Here is a 27521-nt window from a genome sequence, read left to right as displayed (position 1 = left end):
TCATCTTCCCAAACGCACACTCTGTCCCCGTGAGACACTCATTCCCGGCGGCCCTTCTTATACTTTCAAAAATGAACCTCCTGCCGCATATCCTGGCTGGGCAGGCTGGGAAGGGGAAAAAAATGACAATAGACTGGTGGAATAATGAGGACAGAGAACAGGAAGTGAGGAAAGAAGAGGCTTGGGGGGCTGGACGCGGTGGCTCACGCCTGTAATCCCAGCACTTTGGGAGGTCAAGGCGGGGGCAGACCACGAGGTCAGGAGATCGAGACCATCCTGGCTAACATAGTGAAACCCCAACTCTACTAAAAATACAAAAATTAGCCGGGTGTGGTGGCATGTGCCTGTAGTCCCAGCTACTTGGGAGGCTGAGGCAGAAGAATCGTTTGAACCTGGGAGGTGGAGGTTGCGGTGAGCTGAGATCATGCCACTGGACTCCAGCCTAGGTGACAGAGCGAGACTCTGTCTCAAAAAAAAAAAAAAAAAAAAAAAAAGAGGCTTCAGGGCAGAGCATTAAGGTGGCTGTTTCCAGAGGCCAGGCCAGCTGCAACCTCCCTGCAGGTCTCTGCCAGAGCCGCCCGTCCCCAACTCCCACCACCCCTCCAATCAGGGACAGCCAAGATCAAGATAACTTCCTGGCCCAGCCTCAGGGCCCTCATCTCTAAAATGGGGATGCTGATAAAGTTGGTACCTCTTAAGGCTGTTGTGGGAATTGATTGATAATGTTCTCATAAAGCACTTAGCCTATGCCTGGCACGGGACGACCTTTGGGGCCAGCCACCATTGGTGTTGCTGTCATTATTATTCCACCCCAAGAACCAGAAATAGAGCCAAGGTCCTCGTGCTTTTCCATCCAACTTTATACTTTACTTCCCCAAGCAGCCCAGCTGGTCTTCTCACCACCACCACCCCCCGACCAAGTCCTTGAGTTTAGTTCAATCTGAGTTCATTGAGCACCTACTATGTGACCAATCTCATGCTGGGCACTATGACCAAAGAGGCAAGCAAGGCACAGTGCCCACCCCAGAGGGCTCTCAGTGACATGAGGAGGCAGCCTCAAGTTCAGATCTCTTTGGGCCAATCCAGTCAGTGAAAAGCACATTTCTGTTCCAAGGGAGGGCAATGAAAGGGTCTGGGGGGTCAGGGAGGCTTCCTGGGGGAGGCGAATAAAGGTGGGCAGGACAGTTCAGAGAATGGGAGCCACACAGGCCAAGGCCAGGAAGAACCAAATGCCCCAGGATCTTAAGAGAACCAGAAGTGATTTACTATTAAGGGAGCACAGGGGTGTGAGGCGGAGGGTGGGAGGGGTCATGGATCCGGAGGAACCAATGGGGTAGGGCAGGTTGAGGGCCTGTGTGTGCCCAAGGAGAGTTAGGATGCTCCCTTGCAGATGACAGTGCCATGGAAGTAGCGACATCTGCATCTTTGTCTTGGAGTGGGGGCCCAGGGGACTGTGGACAGAGGGAGGTTAGAGAGATGACAACAGTGGATAGGTGCTACTGAAGGCATCTTGGGAAAATAGCGGGTAACCAGAAAGGGAGTGGTGCAGGAATGGCGAGGCGGAGGTGGACTGCAGAGATTCCAGAGGTAAAACTGTCAGGATGGCGTGGTCGGCAGAACAATGCCTCCAAAATGTCTGCATCCCAATCCCCGGAACATATGGATCTCCTTCTTATATTTCATGACAGGGGAGAATTAAGGTTGCAGGTGGAATTGAGGTTGCTAATCAGCTGATTTTGCGATGGGGAGATTATTCTGGATTATCTGGGAGGACCAATGTAATCACAAGGTTCTTAAATGTGGAAGAGGGAGGCAGGAGAGTCAGCGTCACAGCGATGCTAGGGAGGAAAGACTCGGAGCTATTGCTGGCTTTGAAGACGGAAGGGGGCCAATGTGGGCGGCCTCTATACTTGGAAAAGGCAAGGAAACCGATTCTCCCTCAAGAGCCTCCAGCAGGAACACTGTCCTGCAGACACCTTGAATTTAGCCCTCTGAGACCATGTCAGATTTCTGACCTATAGAACTGTAAGAGAGTAGATGTGTGTTGTTTTAAGCCACTCAATTTGTAGTGAGTTGTTACAGTAGCAATAGAAAACTGATACAACTGGCGATGGGGATGGGGCTGGGAGAAGGGGCATCAAGGACATCTGGCTTGGGGACTGGAAGGACGGCTATGCCACCAAGCTCGAGAGGCTGCAGGAGGATAAACGCGTGGGATGGGAGTCCACACCTCCTCTGGCTGCCGCACCTGAGGGAGCAGCCCAGCCCAGCAGTGGGCACGGAGCCCAAGGATGGGGGTGCATTCGTCATCACAATCAGGGGTGCAGTCGCTGCTGTAGGATGGATAGGCGAATGGATGCAGGCGAGGTCCCCTACGATGCCTTGGGTCTCATGATTCGAATATCAAAACAACCACACTTATTAAGCTTTCGGTTCTAGAACAAGACAGAGAAACAGAATTTAAACCTCAAGGTCTGAGGTCAATGTGGGGTTAGAAACTCAGGGCCGGGAGGCATAAGCAGAAACCCTGCGGGTTCTCAGATGCCCGCGTACCCGATTCTTCCTGGAGGAAGGGGAGCAGGTGAAATTGACTGGGTTCCTCTCCCACCTCTCTTTCCGTAGCAATTCCTTTTTTCCCTTTCCTTCAAAATAAAAAGGAAGAGGGGGTGCCCTGCTCGCAGGAGAAGCGCGGGGCCCATCCCCGCCCGGGCCACGCGGACCCCTCCGCCCGGCTTCGTTCCCCGCCTCCCCCGGTCCTTTGTCTCGCTCCCGCGCTGCCGCGCACATGGTCCCCTGTCAAATTCTGGGCGGCTCCCGGGGACACGTGTCTGGGAGCCCGCAGCTCCGCCGGCCCGCGTAACCATGGAAACCGCGGCCAATGGGAGGCCGTGTTGCCCGTGGGGGCGGAGCCGAGCGCGCCCGGAGCAGGAGGGGCCGGGAGGGCGTGGGTGGGGCGGGGCCGATACGACAGCAAGCTCGGGGCGGGGCCCGGGTGACCCCGACCCCGGGCGGTCCGCAGTGCGGAGGATGCTCACCGGGCTGACGTCTTACCGCGTATTTTTGACATCTTGACAGCGTTTCCTCGGCACTCCTGGGATTTTCTTTGCCTATGAAGTGCTGAGTGTGATCCCACCAGCAACGCTTACTAGCGATATGCGTTGTGCAAGTGACTGAGCCTTGCTTTGCCTCATCTGATAAATGGGGGAGTTGTCAGGGTCCCGCAAGATATGCGATTAGCCCAGGACTCGCACCCAGAGGTGACCAGTAACAGCAGTGACCCTTACGACAAACGGCCTTTTTCCTGCTCCTATGGAAAGAAGGACCTCATTCGTAAGTGAAGGATCCACCCTCTCAGAGGCTCATTTGCCCAAGCCTGATCCCAGTACCTGCCTCAACGTGCCTGTCGACAAACTGGGAAGATGGTACTGCAGTCCCTCAGGGTCTCATGCAGCATCCAGGCTGCTGAGTTCCCGGAGGTAGACACAGATGAGCATTTCTGGGTGCAGGGGCAGAAAGAAAGTTACAGTGCCAAGAGCTGGGGGCAGGACAGGGTTTGCCTCCCAGCCGGGTCACCCTCACGGGCGTTTTTGCCTCTCTGGGAAAAAGCATCTTGTGAAGCAGTGGAGATGATACCTGCCGACTTCCCACTCCACGTGGAGGAGAATCTGAAATGAGAAAATGGATTCTCAAAAACCTCTGTTTCTAAGTAAGCCTGAGAGAGTTCAATGGAGGCAGAAACAGATGGCTGCACCGAGGGACCGCGTCCCTCTTACCTGGCTTCCCCAGGGCCCAGAGCAGGGCCTGAGACCAACAAATACCCCCTAGCCAGGAGTTTCAATGAGCTGAAATCTGTTTCACTTTTAGGAAGAAGTGGGAAATGCACTCCTTCATTCATTCACTCATTCATTCATTCATTCAACAGTTTTCTGTAAGTCTGCTGTGTGCCAGGCACTGTGCTAGATACCCAGGCTACAACTGTGAACAAAACATTCCTGTCCTGAAAGAGGTCACCGTCTGGCTGGGGAGACAGACGTTAAAGAAATAAACAGGCAAACAAACACGCAGCCACAAATATCCATAAATGCCCTGAAAGGAAAACTCATGAGCCATGAGCACGTAGGAAATAAAAAGGAGCTGGGGGAGGGGCAGGCAGGGCAGGCCTCCCTGAGGAGGTGACCTTTAAGAGGGACCTGAGGACTGAGCCAGAGTTAGCCTGGTGAGGAGTGGAGGAAAAGAATTTCAGGCAAAGGGAACAGCGTGTGGGTGCTCTGAGCCTGGAGGCCAGAAGGAGCTTGGGCATGCGTGCAAGGACAATGTCTGTGTGGTCCAGAAGCCGGCAAGGGAGGCGTCTATGGAAGGCCAGTTAGATAGGGTCACACTAAGGATCTTGATTTTCGAAAATGGCCACAAAATAGGCTCCTGGGGACTTAAACTAAAATACACACCCCTGTTTTTCAAAGTGATTCCCGGGATTGGGCTTATATTCAATCCAGTTTCACTCACCTTCTACCTGTTCCAATCTGAAGGCACTGGACAATCTAGAATCAGAAATGCATTTCATCATACTCTGCACATTGCACTAAGAAAGAAAAGGAAGGCTGAGGCTGGGCATGGTGGCTCACGCCTGTAATCCCAGCACTTTGGGAGGCCGACATGGGCAGATTGCTTGAGCCCAGGAGTTCGAGACCACCCTGGGCAACATAATGGAACCCCATCTCTACAAAAAATACAAAAATTAGCCAGGTATGACCCACAGGTGCATGCCTGTGGGTCCCAGCTACTCAGGAGGCTGCGGTGGGAGGATGGCTTGAGCCCAGGAGCTCGAAGGTGCAGTGAGCCTTGATCACACCACTGCACTCCAGCCTGGGCAACAGAGTGAGTCCGTTTCCATGAGAGAAAGAAAAGAGAAAGAGAGAGAGAGAGAAGGAGGGAGGGAGGGAGGGAAGGAAGGAAGACTTTTAACAGGAAGATTAGAATTAGGGTTGGATCTGGGGTTAGAGTTGAGTTTTCGGTTAGGTTTAGAGTTGGGTTGGGGTTAGAGTTGGTTTTGGTGTTTCGGTTAGGCTTGGGATTGGATTTAGGGTTGAGGTTAGGATTGGAGTTAGCATGGGTTTGGGATTAGGGTTGGCTTTAAGATTGTGGTTGGTATTGGGGCTAGAACTGGGTTTAGATTTGGTTTGGGGGTTAGGGTTGGGATTATAGAGGCTTGAGTTCCACTAAGTATATTTATGTCACTGGCCCCAAACTAAATGATTTTTGTTTAATGAATGAATCACTATGTTTCATTGTGAACCAGCAAGACAAAGTGACCAGCCAAACTCACTTCCCTGGATATTCTGGGTTTTTTCTTTGGATTATTCTAAGAACAGGCTAGGAAAATTTACCTGTGCACTAATTTCATATTCTTCTTTTTAAGGTGGAACTAAAAATGATACCACAGTAGGAAGCAAGAGAGGAATAGTCAGTCTGTGCGTTTCAAACAGGTGACCAAGGAAGGAGAATTGGGGCCCAGCAGACAAGAGCCACGGGATGGGGGTGGAGACAGGTCCCAGGCAGTTGTTACCATAAGGCTGTGGGAAGCAGGAAGCAAGATGCTCTCAGGGAGGTCAGAAGAACCAGGTCAGGCTGGAAGGTGGAATCTAGATGAGGATTTAGGGGAGGCAAAAGGCAAGAAGATGAGCAGTAAAGCTGAAGAGCTGGGCGGGCCACAGATCATGGAAAGCCCTGCAAGCCATCCAGATGTAACTCGAGTAACTCCGGGGCCCATGTGGCCCCATCTCTGCAGAGTCTCACTAAAGCAGCTCGGGGCAGCAACCCAACATTCTTTATAGGGACTTTCAATATTTTTTGTGTCACACTAAGGAGAGTCCAATTTATACCCCTCAGCAGGACTTCTCAGCCCCATCACCTCTCCCTCCAGGACCCTTGCACTATATGCCACCCCCCGAGTTCCCCATTTGCAGTCCCCTGCCCTCTTTCTGCTCACTCGGTTCTTCTTCATTCCACCCAGCTTAGCCCGGGTGACTCCAGTGCTTTGTTTTCTTTCTGTTTTTCCCAGAGTCCCTCCAAAAACAACAGCACAGAGCTCACCCAGCAAGTGTGCATCTCAGCCTCTCCCATCCTGCCCCAGTCCTGTCCCCTCAGTCGCCCCCTGAAAGATCCTGACCAGACTGGGAAAAAGGGGGTACGTGGGGGAAAGCCCAACGGGCAAGGTGAGGATGCTCTCTCATGAGGCGCAGGTGAGCAGGCAACATTTCTGTGACTTGCTCTTGTCAGAGTACAAAGATCCCACTGTCTCCATGGGCAATGGGGAGCCATGGGAGGGTTCAGAGCCAGAGACTGGAGCAGGCAGATTCGTGAGTGCCTTGAGAGCAGGGCCCTGGATGTTTTGTGGGTGACCCCCACCCCCATCAGCACCTATAAGATTCTGCTTAAATATGTGATGAGTAAAGAGGTCAGTGGTGAATGAATGAATTCCTTTTTTATTTATTTATTTTTTTTTTTTTGAGAAAGAGTCTCGCTCTGTTGCCCAGGCTGGAGTGCAATGGCGTGATCTCAGCTCACTCACTGCAGCCTTGACCTCCCTGTGGCTCAAGCAATCCTCCCACCTCAGCCTCCCAAGTAGCTAAGACTATAGGTGCATGCCACCACACCCAGCTAATTTTTTTTATTTTTGGAGTGATGAGAGGATCTCACTATGTTGCCCAGACTGGTCTCGAACTCCTGGACTCAAGGAGTCCACCCGCCTCAGCCTCCCAAAGTGCTGGGATTGACAGGTGTGAAGCCACTGCACCCAGCCATGAATGAGTTTTGAACTCCATGAGCATTCTGGATTTTCGTGCAGGGCTCAAAGACCCCAGAACACTTGCAGCCTCACCATCGCTTCTCTAAGTCCTTGTTCCTCATTTTTGTGCCAGCCAGGGATCTTCCAACAGTGACCTCCAAGCTGGTAAGGGATGGGGGACCCAGGCTCCCCGATCCGCACAGTGGAGCTTCTGGACTGTCTCCATCAATCTGCTGGGAATGGCCCATGGTCCCCTGGGCAAGACCCATGGTGCACGGGAAACCTCCTAGCGCTTTGGCTCTGGCTGTCATTCTGGTTTCCAGCAACATATAAAAATAGCTTCAAGGACACACAGGGGCCGGGAGGGGGAGACCTGGCCCCCGGCTTCCAGGAGAGCTGGCTACACACGACTCCTATCTCTCTCCCTCTCCAAGGCCCCCTGCCGCCCTCTGACTCTGGCTTTGAACCCTGGTCTGTATTTCCCCATGGACCACGGGCCTAAACCCGCAGAGCTCCTCCGCCAGCAGTTCCATCACCAAGACAAGCAGACGCAGAAGTCGCGGGGGAGGCGGCTGAAATTTCTCCCACAGCCAGCGCTGAGCATGAGTCCTGCAGGGCCCCGGTGCATGATGGAAGGACGGAGGCTGCGGTCCAGGGCTGAGCCCGCGAGGCTGTGGATAACCAGGGAGCCAGCCGGGAGGGGAGGGGCCGCCCAGCTGCAAGGGGCTTGCAAGGCTCTGCCAGGTCTTCTGCGTTTCCATCCCCCTAAACAACGGTGAGGCTAGTGTGTGCCCCAAACCACCTTCCAGGGCCCTGCAGAGCCAGCCCAGGGGCTGGGAGAGACCTCAACAGCAGGAGCAGCCCCCAGCCAGGGCGGAAGGCGAGGAAGGGGGAGGGGAAGCCCAATGACCTCGGGCACCTGGTGAGCGCAGACTGTGCCAGGTGCTGTGCCCCCATCTTCTCCATGAAGGAGCTGTCAAGATTCGTCCCCATCACACAGATGAGCAGAGCGAGGCTCAGAGTGGGGTGACTGACCACACAGCACGTAGGGCACACAGCTAGCCGGGTAGAGCCAGGATTTCAACCCCGGGGGCTCAGGAGCCTGTGCATGAAAGGCAGGGGCTCAGGGTAAACGCTAAAGGCTGGGGCCCCTTTTTTAACACGCTTCCCAAAAGCCCCAAAATAGACCCGCTTTCCTGATGAAGGTCTCCTCCCATCAGCTCCACAAATACCCACGTTCCCAGGCCGAGCCCAGGGCGGGGCCGCAGGAGTCAGCGCCCAGCGGGACCTATTTCTGGCTGCCACCCGGCCCGGCCACAAGCAGCCTTCTGTGGTGGCCTCAGCCACAGCCCACAGCTGAGGCACAGGCCTGGCCCAGCCTCCAAAGGCCCCTTTGTCCAGCTGCCTGGGCTGCTGAGCCTGGCTCCTGGACATCCGGAGTAGGGGGGCAGAGGGTGACCTGGGGCAGAGGTGGAGGGCTCGGCATGGACTGAGGCCCTGTGTGATGGCCGCGGCCAGCTCAAAGGACATTCCAGTGTCCTGTACCCTTGCAAGAGGAAAACAGTTTTCACCTCGGGACGGGCCTCAGCTGGCCTCAGAGAGGTGAACTCACCCTCCCCAGCTCACACACACTCACACTCACACACACACACACACACACACGTCAACTGCTGGGTGCAGCCACCATGTCCACAGGGACACGAGGAGGTGAGAGCCAGGGATCAGCATCCAGTAGGCTGGGATTCTCATCCCGGCTTCTCCGTGGGATCATCTGATACCCATGGCATCATCTAATTTCCCAGATATTCTCATCAGGGTCATTTCCCAGGTGATTTGTTCAAGTTAGGATCCAGGTAATATCTCCACGTGGCATATGGTTGCTATGTCCTATTGCTTTTTAAAAAGTTTTTCATTTCATGCCATCGATTTATTGAAGAAACGGGGCCAGTGTCCTACAAGTGTCCACAACCTGGATTGGTCTATTTGCTTCCTCATCGTGTCATTTTTTTTTTTTTTTTTTGAGACAGTCTTACTCTGTCACCCAGGCTACAATGCAGCGATGCAATTTGTAATTTTGGCTCACTGCAACCTCCACTTCCTGGGTTCAAGCGATTCTCCTGCCTCAGCCCCCCGGGTAGCTGGGACTACAGGCACACTCCACCGCACCCGGCTAATTTTTGTATTTTTAGTAAAGATGGGGTTTCGCCATGTTGGTCAGGCTGGTCTTGAACTCCTGACCTCAAGTGATCCGCCCACCTTGGCCTCCCAAAATACAGGGATTACAGGCATGAGCCACCAAACCCGGCCCCTTGCAGTGTTTTTTAACTCGTTTGTCTCTCCCTGTATTTCCTGTGAGTTAGAGATGAGCCCCCTCTCTTTTTTGAATAACTGCTTATTCATACGCCATAACATTAACCTTTTCCTCTTTTTGAGATGAGGTCTCACTCTGTCGCCCAGGCTGGAGTGCAGTGGTGCTGTCACGGCTCCCTGCAGCCTCAACCTCCCGGGCTCAAGTGATCCTCCCACCTCTGCCTCCTGAGTAGCTGGGACCACAGGCATGTTCCCCCACATCTGGCTATTTTTGTTTTGTTTTGTTTTGTTTTTTTGTAGAGACAGGGTTTCACCGTGCATCATGTTGTCCAGGCTGGTCTCAAACTCTTGGACTCAAGCAATCTGCCCGCCTCCAATTCGCCCTTTTAAAGTGTACAACTCAATGGTTTTTAGTCTATTCACAGAGCTGTGCAACCATTTCCACTGTCAAATTTCAGAATATTTTTTTCTCCCCCAAAAGAAACTTCTTACCCATTAGCAGTCACTCCCCATCCTGCCCTCCTGCCAGTCCCTGGCAACAACTAATCTGCCCTCTCTCTATATATATGGATTTGCCTGTTCTGAACATCTCATATCAATGAAATCACAGGAAATGTGGCCTTTGTGTCTAACTGCTTAACTTAGCGCCGTGCTTTCAAGGCTCATCCATGTCATGCCGTGTGTCAACACTTCATTCTTTTTTATTGCCAAATAATAATCCATTGTAGGATACACCACATTTTATTTACCCATCCATCAGTTGATGGGCATTTGAATTGTTTCCATCCTTTGGTGATTATGAATAAAGCTGCTCTAAGTATTTAAATGCTTGGCCAGGCAAGATGGCTCACGTCTGTAATCTCAGCACTTTGGGAGGGTGAGACGGATGGATCACCAAGTTCGAGACCAGCCTGGCCAATATGGTGAAACCCCGACTCTACTAAAAATACAAAAATTAGCCGGGCGTGGTGGCGCATGCCTGTAGTCCCAGCTATTTGGAGGCTGAGACAGGAGAATCGCTTGAACCCAGGAGGCAGAGGTTGCAGTCAGCTGAGATCGCACCATTGCACTCCAGCCTGGGTGACAAGAGTGAAACTCCATCTCAAAACAAAAATAAAAATAAAAATAAAATGCTTATAATGTGCATAAGTGTTTGTGTGACTATATGTTTTCAGTTCTCTTGGGTATATACCTAGGAGTAGAATTGCTGGGTCATAGCAACTCCATATTTAACATTCTGGGGAACTGCCAAGCTGTTTTTCAAAGTAACTGCACCATTTTACAATCCTACCAGCAATGCTTGAGGGTTCCCGTTTCTCCACATCCTCATCAACACTTGTTTTTGTCCACCATCCCATAAAGGTGAAGTGGCATCTCATTGTGGTTTTGAGCTGCGTTTCCCTCATGACTAATGGTGTTGATGTTCATGTGCTTATTGAAATTTGTATGTCTCCTTTGGAGGAATGTGTATTCAAATCCTTTGCCCATTTTTAAATTGGATTGTCTTCTATTAGTGAGTTGTAAGAGTTCCTTATGTATTCCAGATATAAGTCCCTTGTCAGATATGTGATTTGCAAAATTTTCTCCCCATTCCGTGGTTTATCTTTTCACTTTCTTGGTGTCTTTTGAAATACAGACATTTTCAAATTTGATGAAGTCAATTTTTCTATTTATGTTTTGTCCATGTGCTTTTGGTGTCATATGCCTAATCCAAGGTCATAAAAATTTACTCAAATGTATATAAATAAATATAAATATATATATATGAGAGAGAGAGAGAGAGAGTCTTGCTCTGTCACCCATGCTGGAGTACAGTGCTGTGATCTCAGCTCACTACAACCTCCGCCTCCCAAGTTCAAGCGATTCTCCTGCCTCAGCCTCCCAAGCAGCTGGGATTACAGGTGCCTGCCACCACGCCCTGCTAATTTTTGTATTTTTAGTAGAGACAGGGTTTCACCACGTTGGCCAGGCTGGTCTCGAACTCCTGACTTCAGGTGATCCACCTGCCTCAGCCTCCCAAAGTGCTGGGATGACAAGCGTAAGTCACCATGCCCAGCCATTACTCCTATATTTTTATCCAAGAGTTTTGCAGTTTTAGCTCTTACATTTAAGTCTGTGACCCATTTTGAGTTAAGTTCTGTATATGGTGTGAGGTCAGGATTCAGTTTCCTTCTTTTGATCTGGATATACAATTGTCCAAAGAATAGAAAAATCTGTTCTTTCCCCCCATTGAATGGTCTTGGCACCCTTGTCAAGAATCAATTGAACATAAACATAAATGTACAGGTCTGTTTCTGGACTCCCAGTTCTATCCCATTGATCTATAGGCTATTCTTACGCCAGCACCACACAGTCTCATTACTATAGCTGTGTAGTAAGTTTTGAAACGAGAAAGTGTGAGTTCTCCAATTTTGTTCTTTTTCAAGATTGTCTGGCTATTCTGGGTCTCTTGCATTTCCATGTAAATTTTAGGACCAGCTTGTCAATTTCTGCAAAAAGCCAACTGGAATTTTGATAGGGATTGAATTGAATCTGTAAATCAGTTTGGTTGGTATTGCCATTTTAGTGATATTAAGTCTTCTAATCCATGAACACAGGGTGTCTTTCTATTTAATTAGGTCTTCTTTTAATTTCTTTCTTTTTTTTTTTTTTTTTTGAGACACAGTCTCACCCTGTTGCCCAAGATGAAGTGCAGGGACACGATCACAGCTCACTGCAGCCTCAACCTACCAAGCTCAAGTGATCTTCCCACCTCAGCCTCCAAGTAGCCGGGATCATAGGCGCACGCCATCATGCCTGGCTAATTTTTTTTATTTTGTAGAGACGAGTTCTCCCTATGTTGCCCAGGCTGGTCTTGAACTCCTGAGCTCAAGCAATCCTCCCACCTCTGCCTCCCAAAGTGCTGGGATTACAGGCATGAGCCACCATGCCTGGTTTCTTTAAATTTCTCTCAACACCGTTGCATACAAATCTTACACTTCTTTTGTTAAATTTATTCCTGAGTACTTTGTTGTTTTTGATGCTGATGCAAATTGAGTTGTTTTCTTAATTTCATTTTTGGAGTATTCATTGCTAGTGTATAGAAATATAATCCATTTTTATATATTGATCTTGTATCCTGTAACATTGCAAAATATATTAATTAGTTCTCATTTGTGTGTGTGTGTGTGCGTGTGTGTGTATTCCTTATGATTTTCTATATACAAGATCATGTTATCTGTGAATAGAGATCATTTTACTTTTTTCTTCCTAATCTTGACAACTTTTATTTATTTTTCTTGCCAAACTGTCCTAGCTAGAACCTTTGGTACATTGTTGGACAGAAGTGGCAAGAGTGGGCATCCCTGTTTTGTTCCTGATCTTAAGGGGAAAGTTTTCAGTCATTCACCATTAAGTATAATATTAACTGTGGGTTTTTTAATAGATGCACATGGGCAGAGTTTTAATCCAGACCTGTATTAGTCCATTTCCACACTGCTAATAAAGACATACCCGAGACTGGGTAGAATTTATAAAGAAAAAGAAGTTTATAAGGAAAAGAATTATAAAGAAAAAGAGGTTTAATGGACTCACAGTTCCACATGGCTGGGGAGACCTCACAATCATGGCAGAAGGCAAAGGAGCAAAGGCACGTCTTACATGGCGGCAGGCAAGAGAGCTTGTGCAGGAGAACTGCGCTTTATAAAACCATCAGCCCTCGTGAGACTTATTCACTATCATGAGAACAGCGTAGGAAAAACCCACCCTCATGATTCAAATACCTCCCAATGGGTCCCTCCCATGACACGTGGGGACTATGGGAGCTACAATTCAAGATGAGATTTTGGTGGGGACACAGCCAAACCATATCAAGACCCCACAGACTCCAAAGCCCCGACTCTTTTCTTAGCCCTAGGATAGGGAAGATAAGAGGGGTGGCCTCGTCAGGGAGGCCTGCAGGGATGAAGTTCACAGAAACATCAAAACTTGAGTTGGACTTGAAGGGTCTGGGTGATTTGAGATGAGTCAGTTCAGCAGGGAATACCAAGCCCCACTGCTAGTCAGTCTTGTCCCCATTAACCCCTAAAGCCTTAGAAGGCCCTCAATCAGGCAGAACCAATAGGGGGAGCCCAGTGTCACAGAGGGTCCCACCCATGTCAGTTTCCTGCAGTTTACTACCCACACCCTCACTTCCATCCCTCTCTGAGGCAGAATGCCCATGAAAAAGGAAGGAAGAACAGTTGACATTAGCTCAGGTAGGAGGAACAGGGTGGACAAAAAGCAGGCAGCCCGGTAGGAGGTTGAGGGCACAGACTTGCGAGCCGGACTTCTGGGTTGGAGCCGCCACCACTGGGTCCCAACAGGGTGCCCTTGGGGAAGTCATTTCAGCTCCCTGAGTGTGACTTTTCTGTCTGTGAAACAGGAAGAGTGACAAAATCCACCTCCCAGGCCCTCGGTGAGGGTGATGTGGATGAGCCTTGGAAGGTGCTCAGCGCAGCGTGAAGCAGGGTCTGGGCACTCTGTCAAGGCTGGTTCTCATTGTCTTATCGTCACTGTCACTCTTGCCACCATTTACACGGCTGCTGCTGGTGTGATGGTGGCACTCCTGAGTGCCTGTGATTGCTGCATCCCTCACCATGTGGGACCCAGCTTAAAACAGGAAGCCCCCCATGCCTCCTCCAGGGCAAGAACTTTGTCAGCTCAGAAGGCATCCCAGGGCCCAAATGCGGCTCCAGAGGCCGAGAGTCATGCCACACACTCCAGAGATGTTGCCTCATGGAATCCCCACCATGACGTTAGGGAGAAACAATCATTATCCCCATTTTACAGAAGAGAAAACTGAGACCCAGAGAAGTTGAGCTATTTGTCTAAGGTTCAACAGCTAGGAAGTGGTGGAGATGGGATTTGAACCAGGGTCATTTCTCCTTCCTGCTGGGCTACACCCTTCTCTCCAAACCCTGACCCACTTGGAAAGTTCAAGTAGTTTCACCCTGGGATGAGGAAGATGGAGCCCAGGTGGACGTCCCAAAGCATTCCCACCCTGTTCCCCTAGAGGGGCCCAGGACAGGAGGACAAGGGTCAGGATCTCAGTGAAGCAGAATCTGCATTGGTGACTGAAACATTATATCAGGCTCTAGGGATCTACAGTTCAGGCCGGGTGAGGCGGCTCATGCCTGTAATCCCAGTTCTTTCAGAGGCCAAGACGGGAAGATCGCTTGGACCCAGGGGTTCGAGACCAGCCTGGGCAACACAGTGAGACACGGTCTCTATTTTTTTTTTTTAATTAAAATTTTAAATTTTTTTTTGAAAAGGATCTACAGTTCAGATCCCAAGCACCCCCAGAGATCCTGTACCGGGCAGCTCTTACAGGCTCAGGGGTCATCTGGGGACCCCTGGAGACCCATACGAAGCCGGAGCCAATCCAAGTCCCCTGGAGTTTCCAGCCAAGCTGCCGTTAGGTTCCATCTCCCCCATCCTTCGGCTGATGTTTGGAGCTATGTGCAGAAGTTCACATTTCCTTATCTTAAACTCCTTCTGTAAGTTGTGGATACCAGGGGAATCTTTGTGAATCTGAATTCCACCCAACCAGGAAGCCAGCACCTCCTCCAGCTCTGGATCCCACAGATAGAGCCCTCCCGCGCCTCCCTCTGTCCCTCTGCCTTCCCGGGGCGCCTGTTCTACTTTCTGGGTCACTCACTCCTTGTTCCTCACTCCACAAAGTCACTCACCTCTAAGGGTGGGGGTGGGGGGTTCCTAGGCAACAAAAACAATAGCGGAGGACAATGACTAACCCCCATTTCTCCGTCCTATAAATTTCTCATTCAAGCATTCGGCAGATTTCCTGTGCAGCTGTGCCAGGCATGGTAGGGACCGGGACCCAGGCCCCTGCACCCCATCCATTCCCATCCCGGGGGTGACCCGAGCCACCGTCTGTAAGCACCTGCTCTGTGCCAGAAGCTACGTGTGGAGTGGCCTCAGGCATCATCCACGGAAAGCTCAGAACAACCCCACGCAGCTTTGGGCTATCACTACTTACAGATGAATACGTTACTTTATCTAAAAAATATTGGCCGGGCGCAGTGGCTCATACCTGTAATCCCAGCACTCTGGGAGGCTGAGGCCAGCAGATCAGGAGTTCATGACCAGTGAAACCCCATCTCTACTGAAAATACAAGAATTAGCCAGGCGTGCTGGCACACGTCCATAGTCCCAGCTAGTTGGGAGGCTGAGGCAGGAGAATTGCTTGAACCCGGAAGGCAGAGGTTGCAGTGAGCCAAGATCACGCCACTGCACTCCAGCCTGGGCGACAGAGCAAGACTCCATCTTCAAAAAAATATTAAAATTTTAAAATATAAAAATAAATAAATAAAATAAAAAATATCCATTGAGCAGCTACTCAGTGCCTGGCCTGTGCAAAGAAAGATTCCTCAAATGGCAAAGATGTCCCAGGCCCCTGCCTCTCTGGAAGATGCTCCCCAGTAGAGAGGCAGTTCCTGAACAAGACAAGACAGAGGAGGGCAGGAAAGGAGGGTTACCAGTGGCAAGAATCGCTGCAGATGAAAATACAGGAAGAAAAATGTAACAGAAGGGATCTCCTTTAAATAGGTTGATTGGAGAGGTACCCTCTAAGGAGGGAACATTTCAACAGAGAACTGAAGGTTGAGAAGGAGCCAGCTATACAGAGTATGCAGAGAAGCATCCCCGGTGGAGGAACAACCAGCATGGAACCCTGAGTTGGGAGCTAGCCCAAAGGCCGGTACGGCTGGAGTTCAGGGAGCCGGGGTGCGGGTCGGGGGAGATGAGGCCAGGAGGGAGCAGGCCCAATCGTGTATGCCGGGGACCCAGGGTGGAAGCAGGAGGATGAGTCAGGGCCTTGGCGTTTGAGCAGGGGCATTGCTCAGCTGCCGTGTGGAGTCTTCCAGCAGGGAGATGGTGACGACCCAGCCTGCATGGGGGCCACGGGCATGGAGAGGCACGTGGACTGATGTGGACAGAGCCAGTGGGTCCTGGTTTCGATGTAGGAAGTGAGGAAAGAAGAGGAAGCAGTCACAGCCGCCAGGTCTCTGTCTAGAGTAATGGTTGAATTTTCTTTCCGCAGCTGGAGACATTTCTGGAGCTTCCGGCCATGTCCACCCTCCCCTGGTCCTCTCCTTCCTGCTGCCCCATTTGGCGGGGGAGGTGGGCAGAAGAGGTGGCTTCTAGTGCACCCGCTGGCTGTGTGACCTTGGACAGTCACAGTCCCTCTCTGGACTCAGTTCTCCTCATCTGTAAAATGATCAACCTCACCTTGTCCTCCATAACTGAGACTAGATATGGAAGCACTTACTGGTCTCTTTTTGTTGTTTTGTTTTGTTTTGTTTTGTTTTGTTTTGTTTTGTGAGACAGAGTTTTGCTCTTGTTGCCCAGGCTGGAGTGCAATGGCGCAATCTCAGCTCACGGCAACCTCCACCTCCCGGGTTCAAATGATTCTCCTGCCTCAGCCTCCTGAGTAACTGGGATTACCAGCATGTGTCATCACGCCAGGCTAATTTTGTACTTTTAGTAGAGAGGGGTTTCTCCATGTTGGTCAGGCTGGTCTCGAACTTCCGACCTCAGGTGATCCACCCACCTCAGCCTCCCAAAGTGCTGGGATTACAAACGTGAGCCACCATGCTGGCCACTTACTGTATTTTAAAGCACTTTACAATGTGCAAGAATGTTGGCCGGGCGCAGTGGCTCACGCCTGTAATCCCAGCACTTTGGGAGGCCAAGGCAGGTGGATCACTTGAGGTCAAGAGTTTGAGACCAGCCTGACCAACATGGTGCAACCCTGTCTCTACTAAAAATACAAAAATTAGCTGGGCGTGGTGGCAAGCGCCTATAATCCCAGCTACTCGGGAGGCTAAGGCAGGAGAATTGCTTGAAACCAGGAGGCAGAAGTTGCAGTGAGCGGAGATCACGCCACTCCACTCTGGCCTGGGCAACAGAGCGAGACTCCATCTCAAAAACAAAAAGAAAAGAATATTACCATCATGCCTGCAAATCCCAGTAGGAAATGTGCTTCCCCTTCACATCCAGGCATTTGCTAATGGGCTTCTGTGTGTCTTCCAGAATCCCTCCAACGCCTGGTGGGGGCCACATCACATCTCGTCTTATAAAGGGGAACTGAGGCTCAGCTCTGACATGGTCAGCCTGAAGCCTCACTGAAATTTAGATAGGGGAGTAAACCTCCACATCATAGCAATGGCAGACAGCAGTGAGCACTTGCGGTGTGCCAGGTCCATGCTGGGGGTGCCACGTGGATGATCACATTTCATCCGCACAACAGTCCTTCCTGGAAGTCCTTCTTGTCATTAGCCCTGTTTTATGGAAAGGCGGGTGGTCAGCAGCTGTTCACAGCCCTAGGGTCCTACATAGAAAGAAACAGAAGGTCCCAGCACTGGATTTAAGACAAATGGGGCCATGGCCGGGCTTGGTGGCTCATGCCTGTAATCCTAGCACTTTGGGAGGCCAAGGCAGGTGGATCACTTGAGGCCAGGAGTTCAAGACCAGCCTGGCCAACATGGTACAACCCCCATCTCTTAAAAAAAAAAATTAGCTGGGTGTGGTGGCGTGTGTCTGTAGTCCCAACTACTTGGGAGGCTGAGGCAGAGAATTGCTTGAATCCAGGAGGCGGAGGTTGCAGTGAGTTGAGATCACACCACTGAACTCCAGCCTTGGCGACAGAGCGAGACACTGTCTTAAAAACAAAACAAAACAAAAAGACAAATGGGAAATTTCGATAAACTTCACCTAAGCTCCCTCATGTGCCAGGCACTGTCCCAGGCACTGATGAACCAAAGAGACAAACTGCGTGTCCTCCTGGGGCTTCCATGCAAGTGGGGAGACGGGCAGCGTGTGTTAGGCCACAAGGAGGACAAGCTGCCGAAGCCTCTACCTCCCAGCAGCACAGGCTGCAGAGAGCTTGCCAGCACCTCGTGGCTGCTGTGGCTGAGAGACCAGGCTCTTCCGCAACCACTGCCTCATCTCCTCTTGTCATGAGGCTGTCTGGATTCCCAAGGCAGGCAGAGAAACAGAGGCAGCCAGGAACGCTAAGGGACTTGGTCCAAAATGCGCTGCCCAAGGAGTGGGCCCCAGAGCTTGCCCGTGCCTCCGTCCTCATGGAATAAGCATGTGATTAAGTGATCAGATTACGGAAGCCCCGCATGGGCATATGCAATGACGAAATGGTCATCTGTTTGGCTCTCTCGTGATGATGGAATGATGAGCCGAACAGGGGAAATTAATGCCGGTTCCACCGAGGCCCTGGGTGTTTTCCTTCCAGAGAAACTGGGGCGGGGAATGAGATCTGCGTGTTCCCGAGGCCCCAAGGAACAGGCCCCAAGTCCTGATTTTGCTGGAGGCCAGGGGCTGGGGAAGGGCTTCGACTGGATCATGGCTGCCCCGAAATCCCAGCCACCCTCACAGACACTGCATGTCCCCACTCATGACCCAAAGGCACCTTGGCCAAAACTGGATCTTTGTCACCCTGCCCTCCTGCACCCCAGCCAGACTGGCTCCTCCTCCAGGGCTCCTCCAATCTGCGAATGACACCCATCCTCCCTCAGCTGTCCTTGCATACCTTAAGTCCTCCCTGCCTCTCAGCCCCTGGCTCACACCTGTTATCAGGTCCCAGCCACGCGACTTCTGGATGCTTTCCAAATGCCTCCCTTTGTCTCCCTTCCTGCGGCCTCCTCCTCAACCCCAGCCTCATCACCGCCAGCCCCTCCTAGGCCTCCCTGCCTCCATTCTCACCCAGCTCCACGCCTTCTCCTCCCAGTAGCCTCAGAGATCCTCTAAAAGCAAATCAGACCCTGTCACTTCCTTGGCTACAGACTCTTTGGGGCTCCCCCTATACGTGGAATGAAGCCCACTCTTCCAGTTCCCCTCCCAACCAGCATGCAGGGTCCAGTGTTGCCCCCACTCTGCGGCTCCAGTGGATGGGACTCCCAGGAGGGGACACGCAGATCTGTCCAGGAGCTCCGTAGAGCGGTGCTCAGGCTGTGAATGAATGCTGTGTCAAGTTAGGCCAAAGATCTATGTGACCTTGGGCAGTCACGGTCCCTCTCTGGTCTCGGGTCTCCTCATCTGTAAAATAACCAGCCCCCAGCCCCACCTTGTCTTCCGTAATTGTGACCAGGTATAGGGGAAACATTTGATATATATTAAGGCACCTTACAATATTTGGGGATGTTATCATCACTCCTGCAAATGTTAGTAAGAAAACCTGCTCCTCTGCCACCTCCCCTACCCTCTGAGTCCCACCAGCCAGCTCTGAGTGACAGCCAGGGATCAGGGGAGGTGGGAACTGCCAAGAGGCCAGCTGAGCCATCAGCCCTTGTGAGAACCCTCCCCTTCCCTGGTGAGTCTGGGACACACCCCAAGAACAGGAGAACTGGGGCCCTGCAGGTCTCACTCAATGCTGTGTACGCAGCTCAGGCCCTTCATACAGGTGGTGCTCAATCAAGGCTCCAAACCACAAATCCTGTGGAGGGTGATGCTGGCCAGGGCCTGCATGGGCCAGGGCGGTCAGCACCCATTGTACAGGGGAGGCAGAGCTTGGTCTTGAAGGAGGAGGTGGCTGTGACTTGTGAGGGGAGGGAAAGGGTTTTCTGGAGAGGGGCACAGCGTCACCAAAGGCAGAGGGGTTGGAACGTGGGCGGGGGGACATATGCTAGGGAAAGCAGTCAGTAAAAGCTGGTGAGAATGCCCCATCTGCCCCACCCCATCAGTGCTGTCAGGGAGATCACATGGTTTCCCCTGCCTTCCAGATGGGTAGACTGAGGCACAGGCCCACAGTGAGGGATCCTAGCCCAAGTCAGAGACACAGCCCTTTTGGACATCATCACTGTCCTGGACACCTCCCATCTTGCCTTCTTTTGCCAGGCGGTTTTGGAATTTGTGTGTACAAGTGTGAATTTTGCAGGAAATGGAGCTCCCGAGTATTTGAATTAAGACTCTGCCTTGTCTTGTATATTTTCCTCTTCCTGGGACCTACAGCCCCCAGTTCTTGATTTAGGGGTCAGGGAAGTGTGTGCTAGAAGGGGCTTTGAGCCACTCTGTGCGAAGGACTGGGCGGGGAGGTGGAGGGGGATGAGAGAAGGACAGGACTTCTCATCAGGCACTGCTAGTTCAGGTGGTGAACAATGTCAGGGAAGAATGAGAAGCCAACCACCCATCTGTCCACCCATTCATTCATTTATTCAACAAATACTGGCTGAGCCCACAGTCTAACAGAAGCAGGTAATTACAGTCCAATGTGGTCAGTGCTGTAGTGGAGGATGTATGGGGAACTGTGGGAGCCCAGAAGAGACACATGACCTCACAAGGGGTTTTTGGGGTGGGGCAATCAGGGCAGGCTTCCTGGAGGAGGTGGTATCTAACAGGAGACCTAGAAGGCAAAGAGGACTTAGCAGACCAAGAGGTAGGGAAAAGTGCCTCAATCTGAAAGAACCAAATAGCGCCTGTCTACCTACAGAGGTGAGTGGCCTTCAGGGACCAGAGCAGCTCAGTGTCATGGAAGCAGACTACACCAGGGAGGGGAGCCGAGAGGTGAGCTTGCAGGAGGTGGTGGCCAGGCCCAGATCCTCCAGGACCTTGGGAGACCCAGTCAAGAGTGGGGTCTTTACTGGAGGACAGCAGGCACCCCTCAAGGCTTCTCAGCGGGGGAGAATTGTGGCCATACTTCCTGTTTAGAAAAGTAAGTCAGACTTCTGGTCATGGTGGACTAGGTTATTGTGACCAGCATTGTAGCTGAAGATAACTTTAAAAGTTGAAATATCTCAATCTAATACATATTTTTTTCAAAGCATGAAAAGCTTATCAAAGAGTAAGAAATCTTTAAACCAGACCTGAAGGAAAAACAAGAACTTAGAGAAAGGCATAGGCATGGAGCCACTTTTGCCTAACAAGCTATCCCAAGCCTGGAAGAGCCATTCCTCTCCGATCTGTGAAGGACAAAGGGGATGGAAATAAAAGCCCAGGACCCACGGAATGTGGAAGTCTCGTGGTTGGGCACGGTGGCTCATGCCTATGGTCCCAGCACTTTGGGAGGCCAGGGTGGGTGGATCATTTGAGCCCAGGAGTTCGAAACCAGGCTGGGTAACATGGCAAGACCCCGTCTCTACAAAAGAATACAAAAATTAGCCGGGCATGGTGGTGCATGACTGAAGTCCCAGCTACTTGGGAGGCTGAAGTGGGAGGATCACCTGAGCTGCAGTGAGCCGTGATCGCGCCACTGCCCTGCAGCCTGGGTAACTGAGCAAAACCCTGTCTCAAAAAAAAAAATTATATATATATATATAATATATATAATATATTATATATAATATATTTTTATATATAATGTATAATATATTTTTATATGCTATATATATTTTTATATATTATATATTATATATTATATATTTTTATATATTATATATTATATATTATATATTTTTATATATTATATATTATATATTATATATTTTTATATATTATATATTATATATTTATATATTATATATTGTATATATTTTTATATATTATATATTATATATTATATATTTTTATATATTATATATTATATATTTATATATTATATATTGTATATTTTTTTATATATTATATATTATATATTTTTATATATTATATATTATATATTTATATATTATATATTGTATATTTTTTTATATATTATATATTATATATTATATATTTTTATATATTATATATTATATATTTATATATTATATATTGTATATTTTTTTATATATTATATATTTTATATATTTATATATAATATATATTATATATTTTATATATTTATATATAATATATATTATATATTTTATATATTTATATATAATATATATTATATATTTTATATATTTATATATAATATATATTATATATTTTATATATTTATATATAATATATATTATATATTTTATATATTTATATATAATATATATTATATATTTTATATATTTATATATAATATATATTATATATTTTATATATTTATATATAATATATATTATATATTTTATATATTTATATATAATATATATTATATATATTTTATATATTTATATATAATATATATTATATATTTTATATATTTATATATAATATATATTATATATTTTATATATTTATATATTATTTTTTATATTATATATTATATATATTACAATTATATAATATATTATTATATATTATATATTATTATATATTATTTATTATATATAATATATAATATATTATTATATATAATATATAATATATTATTATATATATTATAAGCTCAGGGAAACTCAGGCTTGGGTTAAGGTGGGTCCAGACAGTACATTGGAATATGTGATAGAAACAAACAAACAAAATAATGCTCTCTGGGGAAAGGTAGCTTCATCCATGCTTTAAATTATCCTTGCACTTTAATTTTTCAAACACTATGGCTAACACACAAAGAAAACTAGGCACACACAAAAAAAGACACCATGAGAAAAAACAGACAGAAACAACAGAAGCATACCACAAAAAATTTTGTATATTGGAATTAGCAGACACAGTCTGTAAAACAGTTATGCTTACGATGTCTTAAAAAAGTAAAAATACAAGCTTAAAGTAACACCAGTGAACATAAAAGCTATGAAAAGTGACATAGTGAATTCGTAAAATAACCAAATAGAGGCTCTAGAAATGAACATTACAATAATTGAAATTTAAAACTCAAAGATTTTGGCCGGGTGCAGTGACTCAGGCTGGTAATCCCAGCACTTTGGGAGGCCGGGAGGAGACAATCACCTGGGGTTAGGAGTTCAAGACCAGCCTGGCCAACATGGTGAAACTCCGCCTCTACTAAAAAAAAAACAAATACAAAAATTAGCTGGGCGTGGTGGTGCACACCTGTAGTCCCAGCTACTCGGGACGCTGAGGCAGGAGAATCGCTTGAACCCGGGAGGCAGAGGCTGCAGTGAGCCAAGATCTCACCACCGCACTGCAGCCTGAGCAACAGAGCAAGACTCCGTCTCACAAACAAACAAAAAAAAATCATGGGACTCAAGAGAAGGCGCACATGGGAGAGGATGGGCTTAATGTTGGATGTGGCAGTCCCAGAAAACCGAGGCCATTGGTACTCAGAGGAAAGGAGGATCTTCTAGGGGCAAAGAGACCAGCAGGTTCCCAGAAGAGGAGGTAACACAGCCAGCTCTTAAGGGCAGGGGTCAAAGGAGGAAGATCTCACAGGGTGGCAGGCCTGCCGGGGGTGGCACTCACAGCTCCAGGGAACAGGGAGGGAAGGGAGGGATGGGAAAGAACAGAGGCCAGGCAGGGAGGTGGGAGCCAGGCAGGCTCTTCCCTCCTGGAGCTCCAGCAACCAGCAGAGAGCTTGGCTCCTAGCAGCTGCTCAGCAAACACTTGTTGAACAATTGAAGAGATGACTTCCCTGCACATAGTAGGCCATTGTCACAGGTGGTAATGGTGGGGCCAGAGCTTTTCCATCCCAGTACAGAGAGCAAGCCCTGGTTACCTGTCATCTTCCCCTTGATCCGAGGTTCCCAAACCACAGTTATGCCTCCTATAAACTCTAGTGGGTAGAGCACCAAGTTGGGAAACTGAGGCAGCCAGGGACAAAGATTGCTGGGTAGAGCTTTTGGGTTTTTCTGGCAGGGGGAGAAACCAAGCACCAACCCTCCCTGCCACCTCCACCACCCCCCACCTGCAAAGAGCTCCCCCAGGGAGAGATACATTCACATATACTCGAATCTCTCGTGTCACAAACAGAAAAGCCATCAGCTCAGCCTGCCTGCGTCCTCAGGGGTCCCACCTTCAGAGCTAAATGCACAGCCATTTAAGGACGCAGAGACCCTCTCCTCCCAGGAGTGGAGAACCCCCAGGGGTCCCTGAAGCCTGCAAAATTGGGGGAACTGAAGCTTCTCGGAGCCCTCTCGCTCCCGCCTGCCTCATGGCTGTTCATTTCTGCAGAATCTGGGGGCTGAGGCTCTGGCGTGTGACTCACCTCCCTCCCTCCCTTCCTCCCTTCCTCTCTCTGAGTAAATGTCAAGTAACATTAGTTATCCCGTCTCCCTCCCTCGGCAGCACCCCCCTCCCTGTTTTTGGCGGTGCTGTTTACCTCGGCAGGATCAATCAGCGTTCAGGGAGAAAATAGAAACCCTTTTAGATCCAATTAATGAAAATTGGGCAGAAGGAATGTGCCTGTTTAAAATTTCACTACCTGGGCAGGGATGGAGGTGAGGACTGGAGATGAGGGAGGTGGGCTAGAATCAGGCCTGGCCCGGCAGCAAGCCCCTGGACTCCTCCAGCGTTTGGAAGAGGAACCTCAATATCTGAAGGGGAGAGGGCTGGGAGGGGCCCCAGAACCAGGCCCTGGCCAAGCGCTGTCTATAGGCACGGTACTTCCAGAGCTGAAAACAGCCGCTGGGCTACATCCTTGCAGGGCAAGCAGAAAAAATGATTGTGGGGAGGGGCCGGGGGCAGGGGGGAGGTTGAGGGGAGGGAAAGAGAATGAAAGCAGCCCCTACCACACACAGGCTTGGCTTTGGGTAGGACCCCCGGCTGCCCCGTGTTCCCAGGACCCCTAGCCCCCAGGAACACACCATGTCATTCCAAAGCCCTGTGTCTCAGGAACTGTGCTGGGGACTGAGGCCTCCACTATGAGGCCCGTGGTCTCGTGGTAAGCAGCCGTGGCTCTGTCCCCAGCTCTGCCACTGCTGGCTGCATGATCTTGAACAAGCAGCTGGCCCTCGCAGCCACTTTTCCTTTGCATCTGTAAAATGGGATGATCACGTGTGTGCCTCACAGGGCAACTGGGAGGGTGAAATAGGAAAAGGTGCAAAAAGTCCTTGGCACGGGGTCTGCCCTCCCCCAGAGTCTGCTCGCCCACCCAGCATCCTCCCCACCCACCCCAGAGCCTGTCCCTGCAGCCCCAGGGCTGCCCAGCTCCAAGAACTCCCAACTGCACACTTATCTCAGCAAAGACCCACTGAGTCCCCCTAGACTGCCGTGTAAGGTGAGCCTTGTCACTCACCCGTCTCATGGGAGAGGACAGACTTGAAGAGTCAGAGCAGCACCTGCAACGGGGCCGATGGCTCCAGGACACAGCCTGGCTCTGCCTGACCCCGCCCCGCAGCAGCAGTGGCTCCCTAACCTTGGGCACTGCAGCTTTGAGGATCGTGAGCACCCACAGTCCCACCCCCAGGACCTAAGCTGCTGGGGCAGGGATGTGAGCTTCTCACGTGCCCCACCTGCAGCAACAGGATGTGGTTTGAAAGGATGAAAGAATGAAGTTGACAGTCTTCAAAGCACTTTTGCATCCTTAAAGTGACTGTAGGCACTATTCCAATGACCTCACCTTTGGGCCTCAGTTGACTTGTCTGTAGAATGGGAGCTGAAGCAAATGTGTCACATGCCTGCAGCTTCATCACTGCGTCCAGGCAAGCTCCAGGAAGGGGACAGACCCCAGCAGGCGCGTGGCCCCCTGCACCCACTGTGTGTCCTTCAGTTCACTTTCTGCATCCCCTACCCACCCCCTGACAACACAGTGGTGAGGGGCACCAATGGGAGTCCTCACCAAAGGCCTGCACTTCGGGGTTGCCCAGGGCAACCTCTACCAACGAGGGCTGGGACGCTGGAGGGATGAGGGCTGCTTTCCATATACCCCTTGGAGGGGCCCAGTAGGGATGGAGGCCACCCTGCCCACAGTGGTGACCAGCCCCATGACACCCTAACATGGGCTTCTCCTGCTCAGCCTCACTCTCCCACCCCCTCACACAGCCCCCTCGGAGCCCTTCCCTTTTGCACCTGAGTCTTCATCACAGGCTCTGTTTTCAGGGCAACCAGGCTAAGACAGGGATGAAAAATAGCAACGACAATAACAACAACTTTATGAGCCTATGCGATGACCTCATGAGCTCATGGTGGCCCAAAAGGAGCCCGAGCACAGTGGGGGGTGGGGGTGGTGACGGGCCTGGCCTGGAGCAGGTGCTTAATGGACAGGTGCAGTCTCCCAAGCAGAGCGGGCGTCCATTCATTCATTCCACTCACGCCATGCATGGCCAAGCCAGGGCTCAGTCCCAAGAGTGGGACAGTTCCTGCCCTCGAGGACCATACCCTCGTAGAACAGATGGGCAAGCCAACCAAGGGGTACACAGCCAAGTGACAGGGTCCATGTCCAAGTGGCATAGTGCAATGGGAGAGGGAAGAAGGGCCTTTCCAGGGTGAGGAAGGCGTCCAGATTGGGGGAAAGGAGGCCGGGCAGGAAAGGTGTTCCAGCAGAGGGAACAGCTGGAGCAAAGGATCCAAGACAGAGGATGGCATGGGGGTGGGGGCAGGGTGGGCAGGGATGAGGCTGGAGAGGCCCAGAGGCACGAGCTCCCAGCAGGCCATGTTCCCTGCCAACCAGGCCTACATTAGCTGTGGGGTGATGCCTGGTTTCTGGCACTGGCAGAGGCACCAAGGCTTGTGTGGCCCAGATGTCCCTCCACCCTGCCAGCAGCAGCTGGGACTTTTGTGGAAGGGCTTGGCTCCAGAGGGGTGCACACAGGAGGGACCCCAGCTGTGCCCAGGTTCTGGTGGCTCTGCCAGGTTCAGAGAGGCCCAGCAGAGAAGGGAAGCAGCCTTGCCAGCCTAGGGCCCAAGCCCTGCCAAGGACCCAGCGTGGACAAGAGACCACGTCAGCAAAAGCCAGAATATCCTGTGCAGCTGTATGGCTCAGCCTCACTCAGGCCATTCCAGAAAGTGGCCATGAGCACCTCCTGAGGATCCGCACAGGTGGAGGATGTGGACGGTGCTCACCCATCTTCTCACACATAGTGAGTAGGCACCTTGGAGGTGGGAGAGTGTTGTGTTAGCCATGCTACGTGACACTCTGCTGCAGGAACAAACAACCTCAAAATCTCAGTGGATCAACATAACAGAAGTCTGTCTCTCATGAAGGCTATATGGCCACTGCTCTGCTCCACATGGCCACACAGGGATCCAGGCCAGGGGCTCCACCATCTTGTAGCTCCTCATCTGGAACAAGTGATCTTCTCAGTCACTAGAACAGGGGAACAGACTACAGGGAAGTCAGCTCTGGTTCTTCTGTGCTTCAGCCCAGAGGGGACACGTGTCCCTTCACCTCTCAGACCATTGGCCAGAGATGCAGAGGGGCTGGAAGCCAGAGAGCAAAGATGAGATGGCTGGTGGCACAAGCAGTGAGGGGTGAAGTCTCAGGGTGGGTCCCAGATCTGGTGACCTTGGCCACACAACTCAATCTCTTGGAGTCTTGATCTCTGCACCTATGACTCGCCCATTTCATGGAAGTGGACAGACTTGGAAAGTCAAAACAGTGCCTACAATGAGACCAAACAAGCCGGGACACGGCCTGGTTCTGCCTGACAGCCCCCACCCTGAAGTAGGGATAAGGATGGTCTCTACCTCCCTG

The 27521-nt window shown here is 50.2% G+C and overlaps 1 long non-coding RNA gene across 1 annotated transcript, besides 6 other annotated features; it reads right to left on the bottom strand.

Moving 5' to 3' along the window:
- Positions 1 to 838: 838 nt before the first annotated feature.
- Positions 839 to 25207, bottom strand: IER5L-AS1 (IER5L antisense RNA 1). The gene is made up of 7 exons (NR_187590.1): positions 25125 to 25207; positions 24694 to 24863; positions 4504 to 4538; positions 3634 to 3665; positions 3052 to 3107; positions 2554 to 2642; positions 839 to 2435 (listed from the first exon to the last, which is right to left on the bottom strand). It is a non-coding gene; the product is annotated as an IER5L antisense RNA 1 (long non-coding RNA).
- Positions 2291 to 2829: an enhancer, noted in NCBI's record as "H3K4me1 hESC enhancer chr9:132020886-132021424 (GRCh37/hg19 assembly coordinates)". NCBI's record gives its function as "activates a minimal SCP1, AML or CMV promoter by ChIP-STARR-seq in naive H9 embryonic stem cells {active_cell/tissue: H9 hESC(naive)}" and the evidence as "EXISTENCE:reporter gene assay evidence [ECO:0000049][PMID:30033119]".
- Positions 2963 to 3012: a silencer, noted in NCBI's record as "silent region_20370". NCBI's record gives its function as "represses an Ori minimal core promoter by ATAC-STARR-seq in GM12878 lymphoblastoid cells {active_cell/tissue: GM12878}" and the evidence as "EXISTENCE:reporter gene assay evidence [ECO:0000049][PMID:35858748]".
- Positions 7782 to 8637: an enhancer, noted in NCBI's record as "H3K4me1 hESC enhancer chr9:132015078-132015933 (GRCh37/hg19 assembly coordinates)". NCBI's record gives its function as "activates a minimal SCP1, AML or CMV promoter by ChIP-STARR-seq in naive H9 embryonic stem cells {active_cell/tissue: H9 hESC(naive)}" and the evidence as "EXISTENCE:reporter gene assay evidence [ECO:0000049][PMID:30033119]".
- Positions 13118 to 13618: an enhancer, noted in NCBI's record as "H3K4me1 hESC enhancer chr9:132010097-132010597 (GRCh37/hg19 assembly coordinates)". NCBI's record gives its function as "activates a minimal SCP1, AML or CMV promoter by ChIP-STARR-seq in primed H9 embryonic stem cells {active_cell/tissue: H9 hESC(primed)}" and the evidence as "EXISTENCE:reporter gene assay evidence [ECO:0000049][PMID:30033119]".
- Positions 14732 to 15026: a silencer, noted in NCBI's record as "tiled region #6206; K562 Repressive non-DNase unmatched - State 5:Enh". NCBI's record gives its function as "represses a minimal TATA promoter and a strong SV40 promoter by Sharpr-MPRA in K562 cells {active_cell/tissue: K562}" and the evidence as "EXISTENCE:reporter gene assay evidence [ECO:0000049][PMID:27701403]".
- Positions 24032 to 24326: an enhancer, noted in NCBI's record as "tiled region #6917; K562 Activating DNase unmatched - State 4:PromP". NCBI's record gives its function as "activates a minimal TATA promoter and a strong SV40 promoter by Sharpr-MPRA in K562 cells {active_cell/tissue: K562}" and the evidence as "EXISTENCE:reporter gene assay evidence [ECO:0000049][PMID:27701403]".
- Positions 25208 to 27521: the final 2314 nt, after the last annotated feature.

Source organism: Homo sapiens, chromosome 9 (genome assembly GCF_000001405.40).
Source record: "Homo sapiens chromosome 9, GRCh38.p14 Primary Assembly".
Classification (NCBI taxonomy): domain Eukaryota; kingdom Metazoa; phylum Chordata; class Mammalia; order Primates; family Hominidae; genus Homo; species Homo sapiens.
Note: the sequence above shows the minus strand (reverse complement) of the source record. Positions and strands in the feature narration are given on the sequence as shown.